The sequence below is a fragment of the Homo sapiens genome, chromosome 5 (genome assembly GCF_000001405.40).
Source record: "Homo sapiens chromosome 5, GRCh38.p14 Primary Assembly".
Taxonomy (NCBI): domain Eukaryota; kingdom Metazoa; phylum Chordata; class Mammalia; order Primates; family Hominidae; genus Homo; species Homo sapiens.
In genome coordinates, this window is record NC_000005.10 from 69,060,141 (window position 1) to 69,083,566 (window position 23,426).

At 44.3% G+C, this 23,426-nt stretch overlaps 2 pseudogenes, besides 2 other annotated features; one reads left to right on the plus strand and one right to left on the minus strand.

The window, feature by feature from the left end:
- Nucleotides 1,856-2,567: an enhancer, noted in NCBI's record as "NANOG-H3K27ac hESC enhancer chr5:68357823-68358534 (GRCh37/hg19 assembly coordinates)". NCBI's record gives its function as "activates a minimal SCP1, AML or CMV promoter by ChIP-STARR-seq in naive and primed H9 embryonic stem cells {active_cell/tissue: H9 hESC(naive and primed)}" and the evidence as "EXISTENCE:reporter gene assay evidence [ECO:0000049][PMID:30033119]".
- Nucleotides 8,742-9,189, minus strand: SUMO2P4 (SUMO2 pseudogene 4; annotated as a pseudogene).
- LOC100130639 (leucine rich repeat containing 3C pseudogene) lies at nt 14,776-15,538 on the plus strand (annotated as a pseudogene).
- Nucleotides 14,908-15,076: a silencer, noted in NCBI's record as "fragment chr5:68370875-68371043 (GRCh37/hg19 assembly coordinates)". NCBI's record gives its function as "represses an EF-1alpha promoter that drives an FKBP-Casp9 reporter gene in an ReSE screen in phorbol 12-myristate 13-acetate-treated (for megakaryocytic differentiation) K562 erythroleukemia cells {active_cell/tissue: K562(+PMA)}" and the evidence as "EXISTENCE:reporter gene assay evidence [ECO:0000049][PMID:32094911]".

Sequence of the window (23,426 nt, forward strand, 5' to 3'; positions counted from 1 at the left end):
TTAGTTAGTCTGGCTAATGGTTTGTCAATTTTCTTGATCTTTTCAAAAAACCAACTTTTTGTTTCATTGATCTTTTGTATTTTCTTCATTTTAATTTCATTTATTTCTGCTCTGATCTATATTATTTATTTTCTTCTAAATTTTGGGTTTGGTTTGCTCTTGCTTTTCTAATTCTTTACGACAGTGGTTCCCAACCTTTTTGGCACCAGGGACCAGTTTCATGGAAGACGATTTTTCCATGGACAGCAGGGGGTGATGGGGGATGGTTTTAGGATGAAACTATTCCACCTCAGAACATCAGGCATTAGATTCTCATAAAAAGCACGCAACCTAGATCTCTTGCATGCGCAGTTAACAGTAGGGTTTGTGCTCCTATGAGAATCTAATGCCACCACTGATCTGACAGGAGGCGGAGCTCAGGTGGTAGTATTCACTTGCCCACCCGCCACTCACCTCCTGCTGTGCAGCCTGGTTCCTAACAGGCTACGGACCAGTACCAGTCCATGGCCAGGGGGTTGGGGACCCTGCTTTAAGATGCATAATTAGGTTGTTTATTTGAAGTTTTGCTACTTTTTTATGTAAGTGCTCATTGCTATAAAGTTTTCTCTTAAGACTGTACCCCATATGGTTTGCTATGTTGTGTTTCCATTTTCATTTGTTTCAAGAAATTTTTTATTTCTTCATTGACCCATTGGTCATTCAGGAGCATATTGTTTAATTTTCTTTCATGTGTTTGTACAGTTTCCAAAGTTCCTCCTGTTATTGATTTCTAGTTTTATTCCACTGTGGTCAGAAAAGACACTTGATATGATTTCAATTTTTTTGATTTTTTGAAGACTTGTTTTGTGGCCTAACATATGGTTTATCCTTGAGAACAATCCATGTGCTGAGAAGAATATGTATTCTGTAGCCATTGTACGAAATGTTAGGTGAATATCTATTAAGTCCATTTGGTCTATAGCACAGATTAAGTCTGATATTTGTTGATTTTCTGTCTGGATAATCTGTACAATGCTGAAAGCGTGGTGTTGAAGTCTCCAACTATTATTATATTTGGGTCTATTTGACTCTCTAGCTCTTATAATATTTGCTTTTTATGTCTGGGTGCTCCAGTGTTGGATGCTTATATATTTGTAATTGTTATATGCTCCTGCTTAATTGACCCTTTGTCATTATATAATGACCTTCTTTATCTCTTTTTATAGTTTTTGTCTGGAAATCTATTTTGTCTGATATAAATATAGCTACTCCTGCTTTTTTGGTTTCCATTTGCATGGAATACCTTTTTCTATCCCTTTATTTTCAGTCTATGTGTGTCTTCTTAGGTGAAGTATGTTTCTTGTAGACCACAAATCATTGAGTCTTGTTTTTTTATCCATTCAGCCACTCTCTGTCTCTTGATTGGAGAGTTTAGTCCACTTACATTCAATGTTATTATTGATGAGTAAAGATTTACTCCTGCCATTTTGTTATTTGTTTTCTAGTTGTTTTGTGGTCTTCTCTCCCTTCTTTCTTTCCTTGTTGTCCTCTTTTTAGTGAAGGTGATTTTTTCTGGTGATGTATCTTAATTTTTTCTTTTTACTTTTTGTGTATGCATTGTGTGTATGTATTTTTAATTTAAGGTTACCACGAGGCTTGCAAGTAATGTCTTATAACCCATTATTTTAAACTAATGGCAACTTAAAACTAATTGTGGCCAGGCACAATGGTTCATGCCTGTAATCCCAGCACTTTGGGAGGCCGAGGCAGGCGGATCACCTGAGGTCGGGAGTTCCAGACCAGCCTGACCAACATGGAGAAACCCCATCTCTACTAAAAATACAAAATTAGCAAGGTGTGGTGGCGCATGCCTATAATCCCAGCTACTCAGGAGGCTGAAGCAGGAGAATCACTTGAATCTGGAAGGCGGAGTTTGCGGTGAGCTGAGATTGCACCATTGGACTCCAGCCTGGGCAACAAGAGCAAAACTCTGTCTCAAAAACAAAAACAAAAAAAAAACTAATTGTATAAACTAACCAACAAGCAAAGAGAAAACTAATAAAAACCTCTACACTTTTAATTTCTTCCCCCAACTTTTTAACTTTTTGTTATTTCTTTTTTTTTTTATTTCAGTTTTCAATATTCACTTTTTTTTTTTTTTTAATTGATCATTCTTGGGTGTTTCTCGCAGAGGGGGATTTGGCAGGGTCATAGGACAATAGTGGAGGGAAGGTCAGCAGATAAACAAGTGAACAAAGGCCTCTGGTTTTCCTAGGCAGAGGACCCTGCGGCCTTCCGCAGTGTTTGTATCCCTGGGTACTTGAGATTAGGGAGTGGTGATGACTCTTAACGAGCATGCTGCCTTCAAGCATCTGTTTAACAAAGCACATCTTGCACCGCCCTTAATCCATTTAACCCTGAGTGGACACAGCACATGTTTCAGAGAGCAGAGGGTTGGGGGTAAGGTCACAGATCAACAGGATCCCAAGGCAGAAGAATTTTTCTTAGTACAGAACAAAATGAAAAGTCTCCCATGTCTACCTCTTTCTACACAGACACGGCAACCATCCGATTTCTCAATCTCTTCCCCACCTTTCCCCCCTTTCTATTCCACAAAACCGCCATTGTCATCATGGCCCGTTCTCAGTGAGCTGTTGGGTACACCTCTCAGACGGGGCGGCTGGCCGGGCAGTGGGGCTCCTCACTTCCCAGTAGGGGTGGCCGGGCAGAGGCGCCCCTCACCTCCCGGACGGGGCGGCTGGCCGGGCGGGGGACTGACCCCCCCACCTCCCTCCGGGACGGGGCGGCTGGCCGGGCGGGGGACTGACCCCCCCACCTCCCTCCGGGACGGGGCGGCTGGCCTGGCGGGGGCTGACCCCCCACCTCCCTCCCGGACAGGGTGGCTGCCGGGCGGAAACGCTCCTCACTTCCCAGACGGGGTGGCTGCCGGGCGGAGGGGCTCCTCACTTCTCAGATGGGGTGGTTGCCAGGCAGAGGGTCTCCTCACTTCTCAGACGGGGCGGCCGGGCAGAGACGCTCCTCACTTCCTAGATAGGATGGCAGCCGGGCAGAGACGCTCCTCACTTTCCATACTGGGCAGCCAGGCAAAGGGGCTCCTCACATCCCAGACAATGGGCGGCCAGGCAGAGACGCTCCTCACTTCCCAGAAGGGGTGGCGGCCGGGCAGAGGCTGCAATCTCGGCACTTTGGGAGGCCAAGGCAGGCGGCTGGGAGGTGGAGGTTGTAGCGAGCCGAGATCACGCCACTGCACTCCAGCCTGGGCACCATTGAGCACTGAGTGAACGAGACTCCGTCTGCAATCCCGGCACCTCGGGAGGCCGAGGCTGGTGGATCACTCGCGGTTAGGAGCTGGAGACCAGCCCGGCCAACACAGCGAAACCCCGTCTCCACCAAAAAAAATATGAAAACCAGTCAGGCGTGGTGGCGCGCGCCTGCAATCGCAGGCACTCGGCAGGCTGAGGCAGGAGAATCAGGCAGGGAGGTTGCAGTGAGCCGAGATGGCAGCAGTACAGTCCAGCTTCGGCTCCGCATCAGAGGGAGACCGTAGAAAGAGAGGGAGAGGGAGACCGTGGGGAGAGGGAGATGGCAGCAGTACAGTCCAGCTTCGGCTCGGCATCAGACGGAGACCGTGGAAAGAGAGGGAGAGGGAGACCGTGGGGAGAGGGAGAGGGAGACCGTGGGGAGAGGGAGAGGGAGAGGGAGAGGGAGAGGAACTTTTTGTTATTTCTATTCATTTCTTTTTTGTGTCATTTTTTTTTTTTTTTTTTTGAGACAGTCTTGTTCTGTTGCCCAGGCTAGAGTACAGTGGTGCAATCTCGGCTCACTGCAACCTCTGCCTAACCAGGTTCAAGTAATTCTCGTGCCTTACCCTCCCATGAAGTTGGGATTACAGGTGCATGCCACCATGCCCAACTAATTTTTGTATTCTTAGTAGAGATGAGGTTTTGCCATGTTGTCCAGACTGGTCTCAAACTCCTGGGCTCAAGCAATCCAGCTGCCTTGGCCTCCCAAAGTGCTGGAATTACAGGCGTGAGCTACTGGGCCCAGCCTCTATTCATATCTTTTTTTTTTTTTTTTTTTTTGAGACGGAGTCTTGCCCTGTCGCCCAGGCTGGAGTGTAATGATGCGATCTCGGCTCACTGCAACCTCCGCCTCCTGGGTTTAAGCGATTCTCCTGCCTCAGCCTGCCAAGTAGCTAGGATTACAGGCACGCTGCCACCACGCCCAGCTAATTTTTTGTATCTTTAGTGGAGACCGGGTTTCATCATGTTGGCCAGGCTGGTCTCAAACTCCTGACCCTGTGATCCACCCGCCTCAGCCTCCCAAAGTGCTGGGTCTACAGACGTGAGCCACCACATCTGGCCCTCCTCTATTCATATCTTATTGTAATGTCTGTGTCTCGAAAAGTTGCTGTAATTTTTATTTTTGATTGGTTCATCTTTTCATCTTTCTACTTAAGATATGAGTAGCTTATACACTACAATTACAATGTTGCAATATTCTGTGTTTTTCTGCGTACTTACTATTACCGGTTAATTTTGTACCTTCAGATTATTTATTTATTTATTTATTTTTGAGGCGGAGTCTTGCTCCATCGCCCAGGCTGGAATGCAATGGCAGGATCTCGGCCTCACGGCAACCTCCGCCTCCCAGGTTCAAGCAATTCTCATACCTTAGCCTCCCAAGTAGCTGGGATTACAGGTGCATGCCACCACTCTCGGCTAATTTTCGTATTCTTAGTAGAGATAGGGTTTTGCCATGTTGCCCAATCTGGTCTTGAACTCATGACCTCAGGTGATCCACCTGCCTTGGCCTCCCAAAGTGCTGGGATTACAGGCCCTTCAGATGATTTCTTATTGTTCATTAACATCCTTTCCTTTCTAATTGAAGAACTCCCTTTAGCATTTCTCTCTTGTGGAACAGGTCTGCTGTTGATGAAATCCCTCAGCTTTCATTTGCCTGTAAAAGTCTTTATTTTTCCTTCATGTAAGCTAGTATTAGGCTACATTCTTAAATATGTTTTTTGAGGAATATATGTATATATTTGTGTTGGGTATCATAGGAGTAAAATTTTCTGTATTATGGAGTATGTATGTTCAACTTTATCAATACTTTCAGTTTGCAGTGCTATAAGCAATACACAGGAGTTCCAGTTTGTTCCACATCTTAGACAACACTTAGTATTGTCAGGCTTTTAAATTTTACTTGTTTTTGTAGTTGTGATATCACATTGTAGTTTTAGTTAGCATTTCTTGAATGTCTAATGAACTTGGACAATTTTTTAATATTTTTGCTGGCCATTAGGCTAGTTTCTCTGTAAAATGCCTATTCTTTTGCTCGTTTTTCTATTTTTCTATTGAGTGATTGAATTATATGTTTGTTTTCTTACTGATATGCGGGGTTTATTTATACACTTTGAATATGAGTCCTTTTGGGGGATTATGTGTTGTAAATATTTTGTCCTACTGTGAATTGCCTTTTCACCCTTTTAGTCATGCCCTTAAATGAATAAAAGTTTTTAATTCTAATATAGCCCAGTCTATCATCATTTTTTTTTTTTTTTTTGAGATAGAGATTTGCCCTTGTTGCCTAGCCTGGAATGCAATGGCATGATCTCGGCTCACTGCAAACTCCACCTGCTAGGTTCAAGCAATTCTCCTGCCTCAGCCTCCCGAGTAGCTGGGATTACAGGTGCCCGCCACCTGGCTAATTTTTTGTATTTTTAGTAGAGACTGGGTTTCACTATGTGGCCCAGGCTGGTCTCGAACTCCTGACCTCGTGATCCGCCCACCTCAGCATCCCAAAGTGCTGGGATTACAGGCGTGAGCCACCACGCCCGGCCTCCTATTTTTAACTTCTGAAAACTTACTTTGTTTTACATTTCAATTTAGATTGCAATCCTCTAGAATTTGTTTTAATTTAAGGAAATGGTTTATTACTTAAAATATCTTAGCAAAATAAAAGCATCAATTTTATGCCATAATTAAATTTTTTTAAATTGACATAACATTTTATGGTTGATTTTTTTTTTTTTTTTTTTAGGGGACAGAATTTTGCTCTGTCACCCAGGCTGGAGTGCAGTGGCACAATCTTGGCTCACTGAAACCTCTGCCTCCAGGGTTCAAGCGATTCTCATCTCTCAGCCTCCCAAGTAGCTGAGGGATTACAGGCACATGCCACCACACCTAGCTAATTTTTGTATTTTTAGTAGACACAGAGTTTCACTATGTTGGCCAGGCTATTCTCAAACTCCTGGCCTCAACTGATCCACCAGCCATAGCATCCCAAAGTGCTAGGATTACAGGCATGAGCGACCACCCCTGGCCATTCTATGTTTTATCATGTACAACATGATTAAAATTCTTTTTTAAGGTACGATGTAAGAGTAGGGATCAAGATTCTTTTTTTTCTTAAAGATTTATAATTGCTTCAAAGCAGCTTATATTTTTAAAAAACTTGTTTTCCACTTTGTCATAAGTTAAGTGATCATGCATATGTGATCAATTTCTGGACTCTCAATTTTATGCCTGTGGTCTGTTCATACATACACACACACACACACACACACACACATATATATATATATATATATATATTTTTTTTTTTTTTTTTTTGAGATGAAGTCTCACTCTGTCGCCCAGGCTGGAGTGCAGTGGCGTGATCTCAGCTCACTGCAACCTCCATCTCCCAGGTTTAAGCAATTCTGCCTCAGGCTCCTGAGTAGCTGGAATTACAAGCATGCACCACCATGCCTGGCTAACTGTTTTTGGTTTTTTGGGTGGTTTTTTTTTTGTATTTTTAGTAGAAATGGGGTTTTACCATTTTGGCCAGGCTTGTCTCGAACTCCTGACCTCAAGTGATCTGCCCACCTCAGCCTCCCAAAGTGCTGGGATTACAGGCGTGAGCCACCACACCTGGCCTGCATATATTCTTGTAATAATGCCACACTTGTAAATCTAACATTATAATAAGCATTGTGTCTTATAGTGTCAGTCCTATAGCTCTGTTCTTCTTCAAGATTGTTTTCGCTATGCTTGTCCTTTATATTTCCATACGCATTTTATTTTTTTCCGCTAATAGTCATTTATATAACTTTGTTAATCTTTGTTTAGCATCAGTATCAATCTATCAGAAACACCAAATAGCTTTATTTCCTCCTTGAAATGTTACTTCTAGCAGGACTATTCATGTGTTTTTTTCTAAGTCTCAATTTTCTATTTAATATTTCTCAGAATAAAGAACACAGCTCATTTTAAATAAGAAGTTTATTTAAACAAGACACTTGAAGAGAAAACTATCTAGAATTCTTTTTTTTTTAAGAGTAATTTATCCCTACTTAAAGACAGATTGCCCTATATGTAACCACTACACACAAAAAAGTTATAAAATTGTCCTTGGTTTTACAATAATAAATGAAAAATATTAAAATTCTTTGAACAAGGTATGCCAGGATTTTTTTTCTTTTTTCTCTCTTTTTTTTTTTTTTTTTTTTTTTTTTTGAGACAGAGTCTCGCTCTGTCGCCAGGCTGAAGTGCAGTGGCATGATCTCGGCTCACTGCAACCTCCGCCTCCCGGGTTCAAGCAATTCTCCTGCCTCAGCCTCCTAAGTAGCTGGGTTTACAGGCGCCCGCCACCATGCCCAGCTAATTTCTGTATTTTTAGTAAAGACGGGGTTTCGCATGTTGGCCAGGGTGGTCTCAATCTCTTGACCTCGTAATCCGCCCGCCTCAGCCTCCCAAAGTGCTGGGATTACAAGCATGAGTCACCGAGCCCGGCGAAAGGATTTTTATGTTGTTGTTTTTTTTGTTAAAATAGAGGAAAATAACTTACTGGAATATAAAGATAAGAACTGAATGAGCATGCCACTAATGGAGAAGGGATATTTTCACAGAATGAGTATTTTTCCCACCCCATTTCCACTTGATGTCAACCAAAACATACCATTGGCTGTTTAGTTTTTAAAAATGCGATATTCGCCGGGCGCGGTGGCTCATCCCTGTAATCTCAACATTTTGGGAGGCCGAGGAGGGCGGATCACGAGGTCAGGAGATCGAGACCATCCTGGCTAACACGGTGAAACTCCATCTCTACTAAAAATACAAAAAATTAGCCAGGCATGGTGGCAGGCGCCTGTAGTCCCAGCTACTCCGGAAGCTGAGGCAGGAGAATGGCGTAAACCCGGGAGGCGGAGTTTGCAGTGAGCCGAGATCGCGCCACTGCACTCCAGCCTGGGTGACAAAGCGAGACTCAGTCTCAAAAAAAAAAAAAAGCGATATGCTTGTGCATATATACCAGCTACTTTATGTACAATAAAGGAATAGGGAAGGGGGAAATGAAAGAACAGAGAAAACTATACTGTAGTAGTCAGGATGTGGTGGCAACAAATTGCAGTTTTGTAATTGAGAATGTAATCTTGATCTTTAAAGAACAGAGTTCTGGCCGGGCACGGTGGCTCACGCCTGTGATCCCAGCACTTTGGGAGGCCAAGGCGGGCGGATCACCTGAGGTCAGGAGTTCGAGACCAGCCTGACCAACATGGTGAAACCCCATCTCTATTCAAAATACAAAAATTAGCAGGGCGTGGTGGTGGGCACCTGTAATCCCAACTACTCGGGAGGCTGAGACAGGAGAATCGCTTGAACCCGGGAGGCAGAGGTTGCAGTGAGCCGAGATCACGCCACTGCACTCCAGCCTGGGCAACAGAGCAAGACTAACTCTGTCTCAAAAATAAATAAATAAAATAAAGAACAGAGTTCTGGAGTAAAGAAGCAGTTTCCTTTTTCAGTAGACACCTCCCGTCTGCTGTTGGAATGCATCAATTCTATTTTCATCCCACATTTCCAACTGTGCAGGTGTGTCTACTTCATTGATTGGTTGCCCGTCAAATCGGAATCTAATCTGCTTCATTGACAATACCTGTCATTCACAATAGGCTTTCATTAGTTTACTAAATGGTGTATGCCTCTTAATCTTAAACTGCACCACAGAACCATCCTGCCCCAACACCTTCAAATTAATATGTTCCTTGTTCTCATTCTTGACTCCTTCCTTGGGCTTTTTTTTCATCGGCCATAGCAAGCACCAGTCTCCTCAGCTGCTGCTTCACAAAAGAGGCACCAAGTCCACACCAAACGAGCACACAAGCAGCCCCAAGAGCAGCAGAAGAAGGAAGCAGCAGTGGTGGATGAGAGCTCCATATGCATTTTAGAGTCAGCTTATCAACATTCACCAAACACATATTCTCTTACAAAACTGCTGGAATTTTACCTTAGCTTTCATTGAATCCATATGTCAATTCAGGGGTTTGTCATCTTTATAACTGTGCTTTCCAATCCATGAAGATGGCATATCCCTCCATTTATTTAGGGTTGGTTTTGAAGTTTCATTTTTTGGTTTTTTGTGTGTGGGTTTTTTTTTTTTTTTTTCGTTAGTTTGTTTGTTTGTTTTTGAGACAGGGTCTTGCTCTGTCACCCAGGCTGGAGTGCAGTGGCATGATCTCAACTCACTGCAACCTCTACCTCCCAGGCAAAAGCAATCCTTCTGCTTCAGCCTTTTGAGTAGTTGGGACTACAGGTGTATGCCACCATGCACAGCTAATTTTTGTATTTTCTGTAGGTGGGTTTTCATCATGTTGCCCAGGCTGGTCTCAAACTCCTGGCCTCAAGCAATCCGCCTGCCTCAGCCTCCCAATGTGATGGAATTACAGGCGTAAGCCACCATGCCTAGCCTTATTTAGGTTTTGTATAATTTTGTCTCAATAGTGGATATTTTCTAGTTATATTTTTGTTTGTCTTTTTCATTTTTATTTTAGGTTCAGGGGTACATGTGCAGGTTTTTTATATAGGTAAATTCATGTCATGGGAGTTGGATGTACAGATTATTTCATCATCCAGGTACTAGGTCTCATACCCAATAGACATTTTTTCTGATCCTCTCCCTCCTTCCACCCTCCATCCTTAAGCAGGCCCCAGTGTCTGTTGTTCCCCTCTTCGTGTCTGCATCTTTTCGTTTTCTTAGTGGTATCCTTTGAAGCATAAGATTTAAATTTTGATGAAGTCTAATTTACCTATTTTTTCTCTTGTTGCTTGTACTTTCGATGTTATATCTAAGAAATCATTGCCTAATCTAAGGCCATAAATATTTATACCTATGTTTTCTTCTAACAGTTTTATGGTCGGTGTGGTTTGAATGTTTATGTTCCCCCGAAATTTATTTGTTGAAATCCTAATCTTCAAGGTATACACACATAGTCAGCCCTCTGTATCTGTGGGTTCCACATCTGTGGATTCAACCAACCGTGGATGAAAAATGTTTGGAAAAAAAATTGCCTCTGTACTGAACACGCACACTTTTTTTCTTGTCATTATGCCCTAGACAATACAGTATAACGACTATTTACAGAGCATTTACATTATATTAGGTGGTCTAAGTCATCCAGAAATGAATTAAAGTGTAAGGGGGGGTGTGCATAAATTACATGCAAATACTACACCACTTTATATCAGCGATTTAAGCATCCACGGATTTTGATATGCATGGGAGGTCCTGGAATCAATCCTCCTGCCAACAGGTACCAAAGGATGACTGTATATGTATATGTATAAATATATGTATATGTACATGTTCATGCACACATGTACACACACACATAGATGCAATGAGTACACCAGCAGCAATGAGCATACCAGACACTAAGACTTTGGTTTTAAATACTATTCTCCTCAAAAGGAACCAGAACTCCTTGAAGAAATGGCTGACTTCGGGTCTAAAGCAGAGAAAGCATATAATACACCTAGAACATATTGTACCATAAAGTATGGTAATTCTCAAAGGTTCATGGGGATGTGTCAAAATGACACAAGAGACAGCCAAGGGGCTCCCACTGGCTAACTCTGGGATAATTTGAGTGTCAAAATAATGACATAATTATAGCAATTTCTTATAACCCATTAAATAGGAACCTATGAGCCCATACTAATATCAATTAATAGATAAATATTCCTCAGAAGTATTGACAACATAAAATAGAAATTACAAACAAAATATATATTTTTTTTCCTGGATGACAGAGGGAGACTCCATCTCCAAAAATATAATGAAATAAACAAAAAAATTTTTTTAAGTCAAAAAATTAATAGACAAATAAATGAGAGCAGAGGGATGGGAAAGCTTTCCCTTACAATAGAAGGTCAACTAATAAATGTGGAAGAAATAATAGAAGGAATGATTATCTTTTTTTTTTTTTTTGAGGCAGGGTCTCACTCTGTCACCCAAACTGGAGTGCAGTGGCGCCATCATAGCTCACTGCAACCTCCAACTCCTGGGCTTAAGCAATCCTCCCACCTCAGCCTCCCAAGTAGCTGGGACTACAAGCACATGCCACTGCGCCCAGCTAATTTTTGTATTTTTTGTAGAGACAGGGTTTTGCCATATTGCCCAGGCTTGTCTCAAACTCCTGAGCTCAAGTGATCTGCCCTCCTCAGCCTCCCAAAGTGCTGGGATTACAGGTGTGAGCTACCATGCCCAGCCAATGATTATCATTTGATAACCTTTACAGTAATAATCGTTTTGGTGAAAGAACAAATAAAATGGTACTTATATAAATAGGTAAAGTCCAGGCAACATTGAGACCCCCATCTCTAAAAAAAAAATTAACTTAAATAATTAGCTGAGTGTGGTGTGGTGGCTGGCACCTGTAGTCCCAGCTACTTGGGAGACTGAGGCAAGAGAATCGCTTGAGCCCAGGAGTTCGAAGCTGTAGTGAGCTATGATCTCACCACTGAATTCCAGCCTGGGTGACACAGCAAGACCCTGTCTCAAAAAATAAATAAATAGGCCGGCCACGGTGGCTCACGCCTGTAATCCCAGCACTCTGGGAGGCCAAGGCGGGCAGATCACCTGAGGTCGGGAGTTCAAGACCAGCCTGACAAACATGGAGAAACCCCTACAAAAAATACAAAATTAGCCAGTCACGGTGGCACATGCCTGTAATCCCAGCTACTCGGGAGGCTGAGGCAGGAGAATCACTTGAACCCAGGAGATGGAGGTTGCGGTGAGCCAAGATTCGTCATTGCACTCCAGCCTGGGCAACAAGAGTGAAACTCCATCTCAAAAAAATAAAAAATAAATAAATAAAATAAATGCGTTATCAGTAACAATATTTTTACATAGTCTCAAAGTATCTCAAGACAAAAATACTTACTAACTTTACATTGCAAAATCTGGCAGACATCATCGTACCAAATGATGACAGTTAATTTCACCAGTGATGAGACAAATCAACATCATATGCCTTCTGAGATGATGCATTAAGAAGAACACAGCTGGCTGGGCTTGGTGGCTCATGCCTGTAATCCCAGCACTTCGGGAGGCCGAGGCAGGTGGATCACTTGAGGTCAGGAGTTAGAGACCAGCCTGGCCAACTGGTGAAACCTCGTCTCTACTAAAAATACAAAAATTAGCTGAGCATGGTGACACAAGCCTGTAATCCCATCTACTCGGGAGGCTGAGACAGGAGAATCACTTGAACCCAGGAGACGGAGGTTGCAGTGAGCTGAGATCGCGCCACTGCACTCTAGCCTGGGCAACAGTGTGGGACTCCGTCTCAAAAAAAAAAAAGAACACGACATCACTTCTGCAGTATTTCTGCCAAAATGATTATCCTAAATCTAATCATGGGGAAACATCAAACACAATCTGATGGACATTCTGCAAAATAATCGACCTGTCCTCTTCAAAATTCCAGGTCATGAAAGAAAGAAGAGACTAGGAACTGTTGCAGATAGAAGGAAACAAATGAGACACGGCAATTAAATGCAACACGTGATCCTGTATTGGATCCTGGATCTATAAATAACTTTATTGGGAAAAATCAGTAAAATTTGAATGAAGTTTGTGGATTAGAAGGTGCTATGGTGGCCGAGCACGGTGGCTCATGCCTGTAATCCCAGCACTTTGGCAGGCCGAGGCAGGTGGATCACCTGAGGTCAGAAGTTTGAGACCAGCCTGGCCAACATGGTGAAACCCAGTCTCTACTAAAAATACAAAAAATTAGCCAGGCATGGTGGCAGGCACCTGTAATCCCAGCTACTTGGGAGGCTGAGGCAGGAGAATTGCTTGAACCTGGGAGAAGGAGGTTGCAGTGAGCTGAGATCGTGCCATTGCACTCCAGCCTGGGCAACAAGAGTGAAACTCCATCTAAAAAAAAAAAAAAAAAAAGAAGGTGCTATGGTATCAATGATAATTTCCTGATTTTCATGGGCATTCTGTGATTACATAGAAGAGTATCCTTATTTTTATGAAACAGACACTAAAGTATTTAGGGGTGATTGGCATCATGTCTGTAACTTATTCTCAGATGGTTCTGGAAAAAGAAATAATCTTTATCTATACAGAGAGAAAAAGAATAATAAGGCAGATATGGTACGTTACTAACGATTAGGGAATCAGGTGGAGGGAACATAGGAGTTCTCTACAGTATTCTTGAAACTGCATTAAGGTTTTTAATTATGCCCACTTTAATAGCTGTAAAATATTTCTTATAACTCTATTTTATAAATCCCCGGCATCTATTTAATTCAAGATCAGAATACAATAAGAGCATGAAGGTAATGAGAAATAAGTCAGGCACAAAGAGAACTTATAAAGGTAAATAAGAGCTATTCACTAAATATACTAAGGCCTATGAATCTTAGGTTCAATTTTTTTTTCTTTTTTTTTTTTTTGAGATGGAGTCTTGCTCTGTTGCCCAGGCTGGAGTGCAGTGGTGAGATCTCAGCTCACTGCAACCTCTGCCTCTTGGGTTCAAGCGATTCTCCTGCCTCAGCCTCCTGGATAGCTGGGACTACAGGCACACGCCACCATGCCCAGCTAATTTTTGTATTTTTAGTAGAGACAGGGTTTCACCATATTGGCCAGGCTGGCCTCTTGGCCAGGCTGGTCTCGAACTCCTGTCCTCGTGATCCGCCTGCCTCAGCCTCCCAAAGTGCTGGGATTACAGGAGTGAGTCACCACGCCCAGCCCTTGGGTTCTATTTTTTAATTACATATGAAATTTTAGTATTAAAGAGCCAGAAGGAGCTTGAAAAGTCTAGTTCCTCAAGTCTTTTCGTCATACATGTTTACATTAGGATGAAGAATAGAAAGGGGCTGAGTACTGTGAGAAGCCAGGAAATGAGGTCCCATGAAGAGAGACATGTTTTCCAAGGAAAAGGACAAGGGAAGTCCACTCACCATGGAAGAAAGTGCCACAGGGCATGCTAGAAAGGCCAAGGACAGCAGAGGGATGGATGGAGGTGGGGGATACAGGTTGCTGCCAGGCAGTGGATGTGAGATGGGCCCCACCCTATTTTGCACCTCAGGCCTGCCAAGCCGGGATCCTTCTGCCCAGCCAGGCTCTGGGCAAGGAAGAGGGGTTCTGGGAGGAAGTCCCAAACTCGAAGGGTGAAGGAAGATGGCAGTGCCGAGGCTTTGGGAAGGGAGCCAGAGGCAGGAATTGGAATTGGGGCCTGGTTTCCCCATGGCAGATTTCATCCAGGTCCAGGATCTGCCCTCTCTTGGCATTGACTGGCCAAGCCATGGCTCAGGTATTCCACACCTGGGCCCGGAACCACATGCCAGAAAACCCAACACTGTTCGGCCCCAGCCGGCAACTTCCAGCAGCCAGGAGCAAACAGGACTTGTGAAGGAGGCAGTGGATCTCCAGAGCCCAGCAGCAGGGAGGCTACTTTCCGGGAGAGGGCAGCAGCACAGGAGAAGGCCCTGCCGCCTACAGGGGTCCTACTCCACTCCGGGACCCTGCCCATCTGTGGCCATCCTCCCACCAGCAGCCTGTCACCTCCCATCCCTCCCGCTGGTGACAGGCACCGGGGTACCGTGCCCAGCCCCCGGGCACCTCCACAGGGCTGCCATGTGGCAGAGGAAGCCGGTGAACTGACGCTTGGCTGCAGCCAGGCAGGCCTAAGCTCTGTTGCCCCGCCGCATCCCAGCTACACCCACAGGCCTGGATGCCAACCAGCTGGCGTCAGTGCCCGCGGTGCCTTCCAGCACCCGCCTGTCCTGGAGGAGCTGCACCTGTCCCCTAATATCTTCACCCGCCTCTTAGGGGCAGCCTTCTCGGCCCTGGCGTGCATGGTGCACCACCTCCACCTCTCTGAAAAGCTGGCCTGGGTGCCCGTGGAGGCCTTCGTGGGGCTGCAGATCCAAGTGAACCAATCCGCCAACCCGTGAAACTGGGACTGTGCCCTCCAGGGAGTGCTCAGGCTGGTGAGGCTGGCGCCGGGCACCAGGACAGGCATCGTGTGTGACCCCAGAACCCGACCAGACCTCGGTGGGGCAGGAGCTCCTGCCGCTGGCAGGGGAGGAAGAGCTGTGTGGGTCGGGGCAGGGCCCAGAGGAGCACCAAGGTGGCCCCTGCCGTTGAGGGGTGGCTGACCTGGTGCATTATGTATGGTAGAACCGAGATGAAACCTGGCGCACCCTCAAGCGGCCCCTGTTGCCAGTGCACCCAGAGGATGACTCCACCCTCAGCACAGTGGTCTAAGGGTGCTCCTGGGGCCACACCACACACTCCTCCTCCTACGCCCTCTCCCTTCCTCTGACCCCCCGCCTTCTCCCTTCCTCTGACCCCCTCGGCTTCCTGTGCAGCCTCACCCCAGCCCCCTAAATACCTGTCCTCTCTCCTCTCTGTCTCTCTCTGTCTCTCTCTCTCTCACACACACACACACACACACACACGCCATCTCTAGTGCCTGGATTTATCTGGTGCTCCAACTTACTTAAAGAATGGGAAGGACTTTGGACAGAAAAGAGGGAGGGACCCTAGATGAAAGGCTGTGGAGGCGGCAAGGAAAATGTACAACTTGAAATGTCTGGGCAGTGGCAAGACCAGCCTCAGGGCTGGAAGAGAGGATGCAAAGAGGGACGGGGAGATGGTGAGACCAAGCTGCAGGTGGGGTCCGAAGTCGGGGTGCGGCCAGATTTAAAAGGACACTGTAGGCTCCGCCTCTCTTCTCCCTTTGCCTCTACTGAGAGCCTCCTCCTTGCTTCTTGCCTCTCTCTTGCCCACAGGCCCCTCTTCCTGCAGTCTGTTGGAGACCTCCCATCTCAGACTCCCTGCTTCCTTCTCCAGACACTCCTTATCTCTCTGTGCCCTCCTTTATGCACTGACAGGGTTCCTGAGCTCCTTCCTGTGTGGAAAATGTGGTCTCTTCTATGACTGAGCTGGGGACGGGTAACTGGAGAGAGCTGGGGGAAGGGGGTAGACCCCAGAACATCACTGGAGAAATCAATAAAGTCACCTTTATGAAGGAGGAAAAAAGGATCAAGAATAAAGTACTATGGGCCAGGCGCGGTGGCTCACACCTGTAATCCCAGCACTTTAGGAGGCTGAGGCAGGCGGATCACCTGAGGCCAGGAGTTTGAGATCAGCCAGGCCAACATGGCAAAACTCCGTCTCTACTAAAAATACAAAAATTAATCAGGCTTAGGGGCACGCGCCTGTAATCCCAACTACTCAGGAGGCTGAGGCAGGAGAATCGCCTGAACCTGGGAGGCAGAGATTGCAGTGAGGCGAGACTGTGCCACTGCACTCCAGCCTGCGCAACAAAGAGAGAGTCTGTCTCAAAAAAAAAAAAAAAAAAAAAAAAAGAATAAAGTACTATGAGCCCAAGAGGATTATGTATCAGAGTTTTTCTGGAGTTCATGTATATAAGTTTCATTTTATTTCAATTCTTTATAAAACAAATCAAGGAAAAAAGTCTAGAAAAGACATTATGGGCCGGGCACCGTGGCTCATGCCTGTAATCCCAGCACTTTGGGAGGCCGAGACAGGTGGATCACCTGAGGTCAGGAGTTCAAGACCAGCCTGACCAAAATGGAGAAACCTGTCTTTACTAAAAATACAAAAAATTAGCCAGGCTTGGTTGTGCATGCCTGTAATCCCAGCTACTCGGGAGGCTGAGGCAGGAGAATCACTTGAACCTGGGAGACAGAGGTTGCGGTGAGCCGAGATCTCTCTATTGCACTCCAGCCTGGGTGAAAAGAGCGAAACTCCGTCTCATAGAAAAAGAAAGAAAGAAAATACATTAGGTAGGCCGGGCGCGGTGGCTCACGCCTGCAATCCCAGCACTTTGGGAGGCCGAGACGGGCAGATCACGAGGTCAGGAGATCGAGACCATCCTGGCTAACATGGTGAAACCCCATCGCTACTAAAAATACAAAAAATTAGCCAGGCGTGGTGGCGGGCACCTGTAGTCGCAGCTACTCGGGAGGCTGAGGCAGGAGAATGGCGTGCACCCGGGAGGCGGAGCTTGCAGTGAGCCGAGATTGAGCCACTGCACTCCAGCCTGGATGACAGAGCGAGACTCCATCTCAAAAAAAAAAAAAAAAAGAAAGAAAGAGAATACATTAGGTAATATAATGAACACCCACTCAGTCTAAAATAAAACATTTCTAAACACAACAGACTCCCCTCCCTATCACATTCCCAGTACAATATCTTTAATTTAGCATTTGTCATTCTCTTTTATGTATTTATACTTTTACTACACAAGTATCTACTTCTTAACAAAAGATAATATTGTTTGGCATGATTTTTGACTTTACAGAAGTTGTATAATACTGTATATGTCCTTCCAAGCTTATTTTTCCCACTCAAGTTTTCTTTGGCGGGAAGGGGGTGTTTGTGTGTTTGCTTTCTGAAAATTCCTAAGTCTTATCACTCAAGTTTAATATTTATTTAGCTTAATACACATAATTTTAATTCACTCATTTTATCTGCTATATAGTGTTCCACGATATGAATATGTAATTTTTCATTGTGTATCATACTGATGAGCATTTTTTTTTTTTTTGAGACAGAGTCTCGCTCTGTCACCCAGGCTGGAGTGCAGTAGTGAGATCTCAGCTCACTGCAAGCTCCGCCTCCCGGGTTCACGCCATTCTCCTGCCTCAGCCTCCCAAGTAGCTGGGACTACAGGCACCTGCCACCACACCCAGCTAATTTTTTGCATTTTTAGTAGAGACGGAGTTTCACCATGTTAGCCTGGACGGTCTTGATCTCCTGACCTCGTGATCCTTCCGCCTCGGCCTCCCAAAGTGCTGGGATTACAGGCGTGAGCCACCACACCCAGCCTTGATGAGCATTTAAATTGTTACCCCATCTGTTCTATTACCATCAATGCCAAAATGAACCCCAAATCTGACTCCTTGTGTTGATATGCAAGTATTTCTCTAGGCCAGTGGCCCTCAAATTTTAGAAAGCATCAGAATCACCTGAGAGTTTTATTAAACAATAGACCGTTGAATCCCACCCCCAGAGTTTCTAATTCATTTCTAACAAGTCCTTAAGCGATGTTGATGCTGTTGGCCTGAAGAACGCACTTTAGAACAACTGCCCTAGGATGTTCATCCTGGAGTAAAATTGCTATCAAATAATTGTGCATCTTCAACTTTACTAAATGATGCCAAATTGCTCTGCAAAGGAATTTTAATGATGTGCTCTCCCAAAGAAGTCAGTTCCCTTTCTCATGTCTGAAACCACCTTTGCACAATTGTGACTGAGACAGTGAAAGAGATCTAACTTAATCGACTTCATCTTGCTTCTAACCTCCAAGCTGTCCTTGTTCATTCCTGGGCATAAGCTGAACAAACTTTGGGAGAAACTTAGTTTATAGTTTATAGTTTGGAACAAGGACGATAACAGCCCTTTCCCAAAGCAGACCTCCTTCTTGCCTGGGGACTAGACTACCTCTGTAAGACTAACATTAGCCACAAGATTAGACATTATGGTTTTGGAGTCATGCAGCTGGAGGCTACAAGATTCTAAGATTCTGACCCTCCCTAAACTGCTCCTAAGATCAGTACTTGAGATATTCTGCAGACCCTGCACTTGATGCATCAGCTGGCACCACCCAGATCAATAAACTGGCTCACCTGATCTTGTGGCCCCCACCCAGGAACTGACTCAGCTCCAGATGACAGCTTTGACTCCTTATGATTTCATCCTTGACCAATCAGCACTCCTGGCTTACTGGCTTCCCCCCACCAAGTTGTCCTTAAAAACTCTGCTCCTCAAATGCTCAGGAAGACAGATTTGAATTAATAATAAAACTCCAGTCTCTCGCACAACCAGTTCTGCCTAAATTACTCTTTCTCTATTGCAGTTGCCCTGTCTTGAGAAATCGGCTCTGTCTAGGCAGTGGGCAAGGTCCACACCACATTTGATGTCATAACACTTCAAAAGTGTTGCCAATCCAAAGAATACAGAATTGTATTTCACTGTGGTTTCCATTTGAAATTCCCTGTTACTAATAGGATTGAGCATCTTTTCATATGGCTGTAGCCATTCAGGCTAAATTATACTGTCTCTTATCTGTTCATTCCTTTGCCTATTTGCTATTAGGGTGTTTGACTTTAATTTATTTCAAAAGACAAAATTACAGGCTGGGCACAGTGGCTCAGGCCTGTAATCCTAGCACTTTGAGAGGCCGAGGCAGGTGGGTAACCTGAAGTCAGTTTGATACCAGGCTGGCCAACCTGGTGAAACCCCGTATCTACTAAAAATACAAAAATTAGCCGAGTGTGGTGGCAGGTGCCTATATTCCCAGCTACTTGGAAGGCTGAGGCAAGAGAATTGCTTGAACCTGGCAGGAGCAGAGGTTACAGTGAGCCGAGATCGCACTACTTCACTCCAGCCTGGGTGACAGAGTGAAACTCCGTCTCAGAACAAACCAAAAAAAAGACAAAATTACAACAAATTTAGTTTAAAAATCCAATTGGCTTTTATTTGTGATTGTAGAATCAGGCAACACCTCACTGTATGAAATAGAATGGGTGTTCTGGTAGACAGAGCAGAGGAGGTTGGCTTTGTAGGCCAAAAAGGGCCGAAGAAAACAGAAACAGAGACCAAAAGGTAAATTGGCCATTTCATAGTTACTTTCCTTCTAGGGTTAAAAACAGAGGGGACTGGCCGGGTGTGGTGGCTCACCCCTGTAATCCCAGCACTTTGGGAGGCCAAGGTGGGTGGATCACAATGTCAGGAGATCGAGACCAAACTGGCCAACATGGTGAAACTCCGTCTCTACTAAAAATACAAAAATTAGCTGGGCATGGTGGCACGCGCCTGTAGTCCCAGCTACTCGGGAGGCTGAGGCAGGAGAATCGCTTGAACCCAGAAGGTGGAGGTTGCAGTGAGCTGAGATCATGCCACTGCTGCCACTGCACTCCAGCCTGGGCAACAGAGCGAGACTCAGTCTCAAAAAAAAATTAAAAAAAAAAAAAAAAAAAAAAACCAGAGGGGACTTCCTTATTATGCTGACTTAGGTTGACTGGAATCCCCGTGTTTTAGAAAACTGGCCCATTTCAAAGTTTGGTTTGATTACGTGGCACTTAGCATAAGTGACTTCATTCTGCTTTGGGCTGCTGGGGCCTAGGGCAGGAGGCTATCCCAAAACAATGGCCTCCTATAAACCTTACTTAACACTTATATAGTTATAGTTACTAAACCATCATCTTTAGAACATAATGAGGAAAGGCTGGGTGCAGTGACTCACACCTGTAATCCCAGCACTTTGAGAGGCTGAGGTGCATGGATCACCTGAGGTCAAGAGTTCGAGACCAGCCTGGACAACATGGTGAAACCCCGTCTTTACTAAAAATACAAAAATTAGCCATGCGTGGTGGTACATGCCTGTAATCCCAGCTACTTGGGAGGCTGAGGCAGGAGGATTGCTTGAACCCAGGAGGCAGAGGTTGCAATGAGCCTAGATTGTGCCATTGCACTCCAGCCTGGGCTTCAGAGAGAGACTGTCTCAAAAAAAAAAAAAAAGAAAGAAAGAAAAAAGAAAAAAAGAACATAATGAGGAAAATGCATGTCTAGCACATTTTTCAGAAAATTCAAGATATACATTTATACTGAATTTACTATAATACAGAAATTTTTGTGTTCTGTTAACCTAAAAGGGCAAAGCTGAGGCAAACTTTAGAGAGTTAATTTGGGCCAAGGTTGAGGACTGCAGCATGGGACATACTTCCAGCTTGCTTTGGAGAGTACTCTGGGAAACAGAGAGGCTCAAACCCACGTATCAGGAGGGTGCAATTACTAAAGCTGTTTGTCGGGAAGTCTCCTTGGTTTACAGAAATAACATTGGTTAGCGATCGGCTATCCGTTGTTGAACTACAGTCTAGCGCCCCGCATAGCAAGTGGCTTCAAGAGGGGAGTGACTGCTGTTACAGTTTAAATGCCTCTCTGGGCCTGGATAATTTAAAGAGGCTTGCCTTCCTCAGATTAAAAGAGGTTTTTTTCTTTCTCAGTTATAGTAGGAGAAAAAAGAATACAAAATTATACATGTACCACAATATACAAACTAAAATTCCAAAACACTATCCTTAGAAAAGAGACTAAAAGGAAATATACTATTATTGCATGAGCAGTTTAGAGATAGATTTCTTATTTTATGGCTTTAAGTGTGTATACTTTCTTCCAATTTTCTATATTTTCAGTTCTTTTATAAAATAATGCAGTTTCATATTCCATGGAGATTCAGTGCCAAGCTAATACAAAAAACAAAAATCATGTATGCAATATTACCCCAAACATCCCTTAAATTGGGCCGTCTCAGCCAGGCACGGTGGCTCATGCCTGTAATCCCAGCACTTTGGGAGGCCAAGGCAGGCAGATCACCTGAGGTCAGGAGTTCTAGACCAGCCTGGACAAAATGGCAAAACCCCATGTCTACTAAAAATACAAAATTAGCCAGTGGTGCAGGCCTGTAATACCAGCTACTCGGGAGGCTGAGGCAGGAGAATCGCTTGAACCCAGGAGGCGGAGGTTGCAGTGAGCCCAGATCGTGCTACTACACTCCAGCCTGGGCAACAGAGCCAGACTCCATCTCAAAAAAAAAAAAAAAAATTGAGCCGTCTCTCAGAAAGTCCAATAGTGATTTAATAAATGTTCAGGGTAATTTTGCAACATGGCCTATTTTTTTCCCCTATCATTGGAATTGTTGCTATTTGTTTGATTGACCACCAGACAGAACAACAGAAAATCAACTATCTACATGTATTTCCTTTTAGAATCACACTTAACTCTGGTAAGATGATGTTATCAGAGGCACCCAGGAACTAGAACCAACAAACTAGGGACCAAGGAAAAGCAGATTTACACATCCCATCTCATGCTCAGCCTACGGTTCACTGAGAGGAATGTTAGGTAGAATCATGCACCATTTACATTGCCACTTTCTCCCTCTCTTATTTTTGTGGGGTTGAGTTAATATGGTTGAGTTTGCATATGGTAAATTTGTATGTGATGAGACTCCTTTGTACATAATTCATTTATAATAGAAAAAACCTCTTTTTTAGAAGGAACAGATTTCTTGAATATATAAAGATATACACACTTTCTGTTTTCATCATTCATTTACTCTTTCAACAAGTATTGTATCTGCAATTTTTTTTTTTTTTTTGAGATGGAGTCTCACTCTGTTGCCCAGGCTGGAATACAGTGGGGTGATTTCGGCTCACTGCAACTTCCACCTCCCAGGTTCAAGTGATTCTCCGGCCTCAGTCTCCCGAGCAGCTGGGATTAGAAGTCTGCACCACCACGCCGTGCTAATTTTGTATTTTTAGTAGAGATGGGGTTTCACCATGTTGGCCAGCCTGGTCTCAAACTCCTGACCTCCAGGGATCCGCCCACCTCAGCCTCCCAAAGTGCTGAGATTACAGGCGTGAGCTATCACGCCCAGCAATTTTTAATAGAGGAGATGGAAGGAAGAAGTAAAATAGTCTCTGTCTCTACTCTCATGGAGCATAATCAACTAATCTAACAGTAAAATAAATAAAAAACTACCCTGTGATAAAGAAGAAGTACACAGTAGCTTAATAACATATAATAGTAATATTTTATCTTCATTGAGGGTTTTAGAAAGGCTCCCTGAGAAAGTGGTTACTAAGCTGGGTGAGGAGTGTGGTGGATACTGTGTTGTGTGACCAGCAGTGGTGCTGGAGCTGGATCATACTGCCTCATGGGTGCCAATAGTTGAATTGTTAGGAATTTTGAGACAGGTTTTAAACAACCATTATTAAATATTATGTAAAGTTATATTAAAAACACAAATCAATAATACTCAAAACTCATCACTTCCTAATTATTTTTTACTACATTTTACTATTATCTGTGCTTTTGAGGTTATCTATCGTGCATCTTTTCCCAATTCCACATTCACCGATATCACAATTGGTAGCTTGAAAGTGGCCATGGTGGGGGTATGTACACCATGGAAATTGGCAAACACTATAAAATGGGGCTTTTTCTCCCATAGAGCTGGTTGTTAAATGTTTACCAACATACTACTGAGACAGCCAAGTGTAAAGAGGCTCCTGGAGAAACTCTGACCAGCCTGTGCACACTGGAGTAGAGCCACAGAA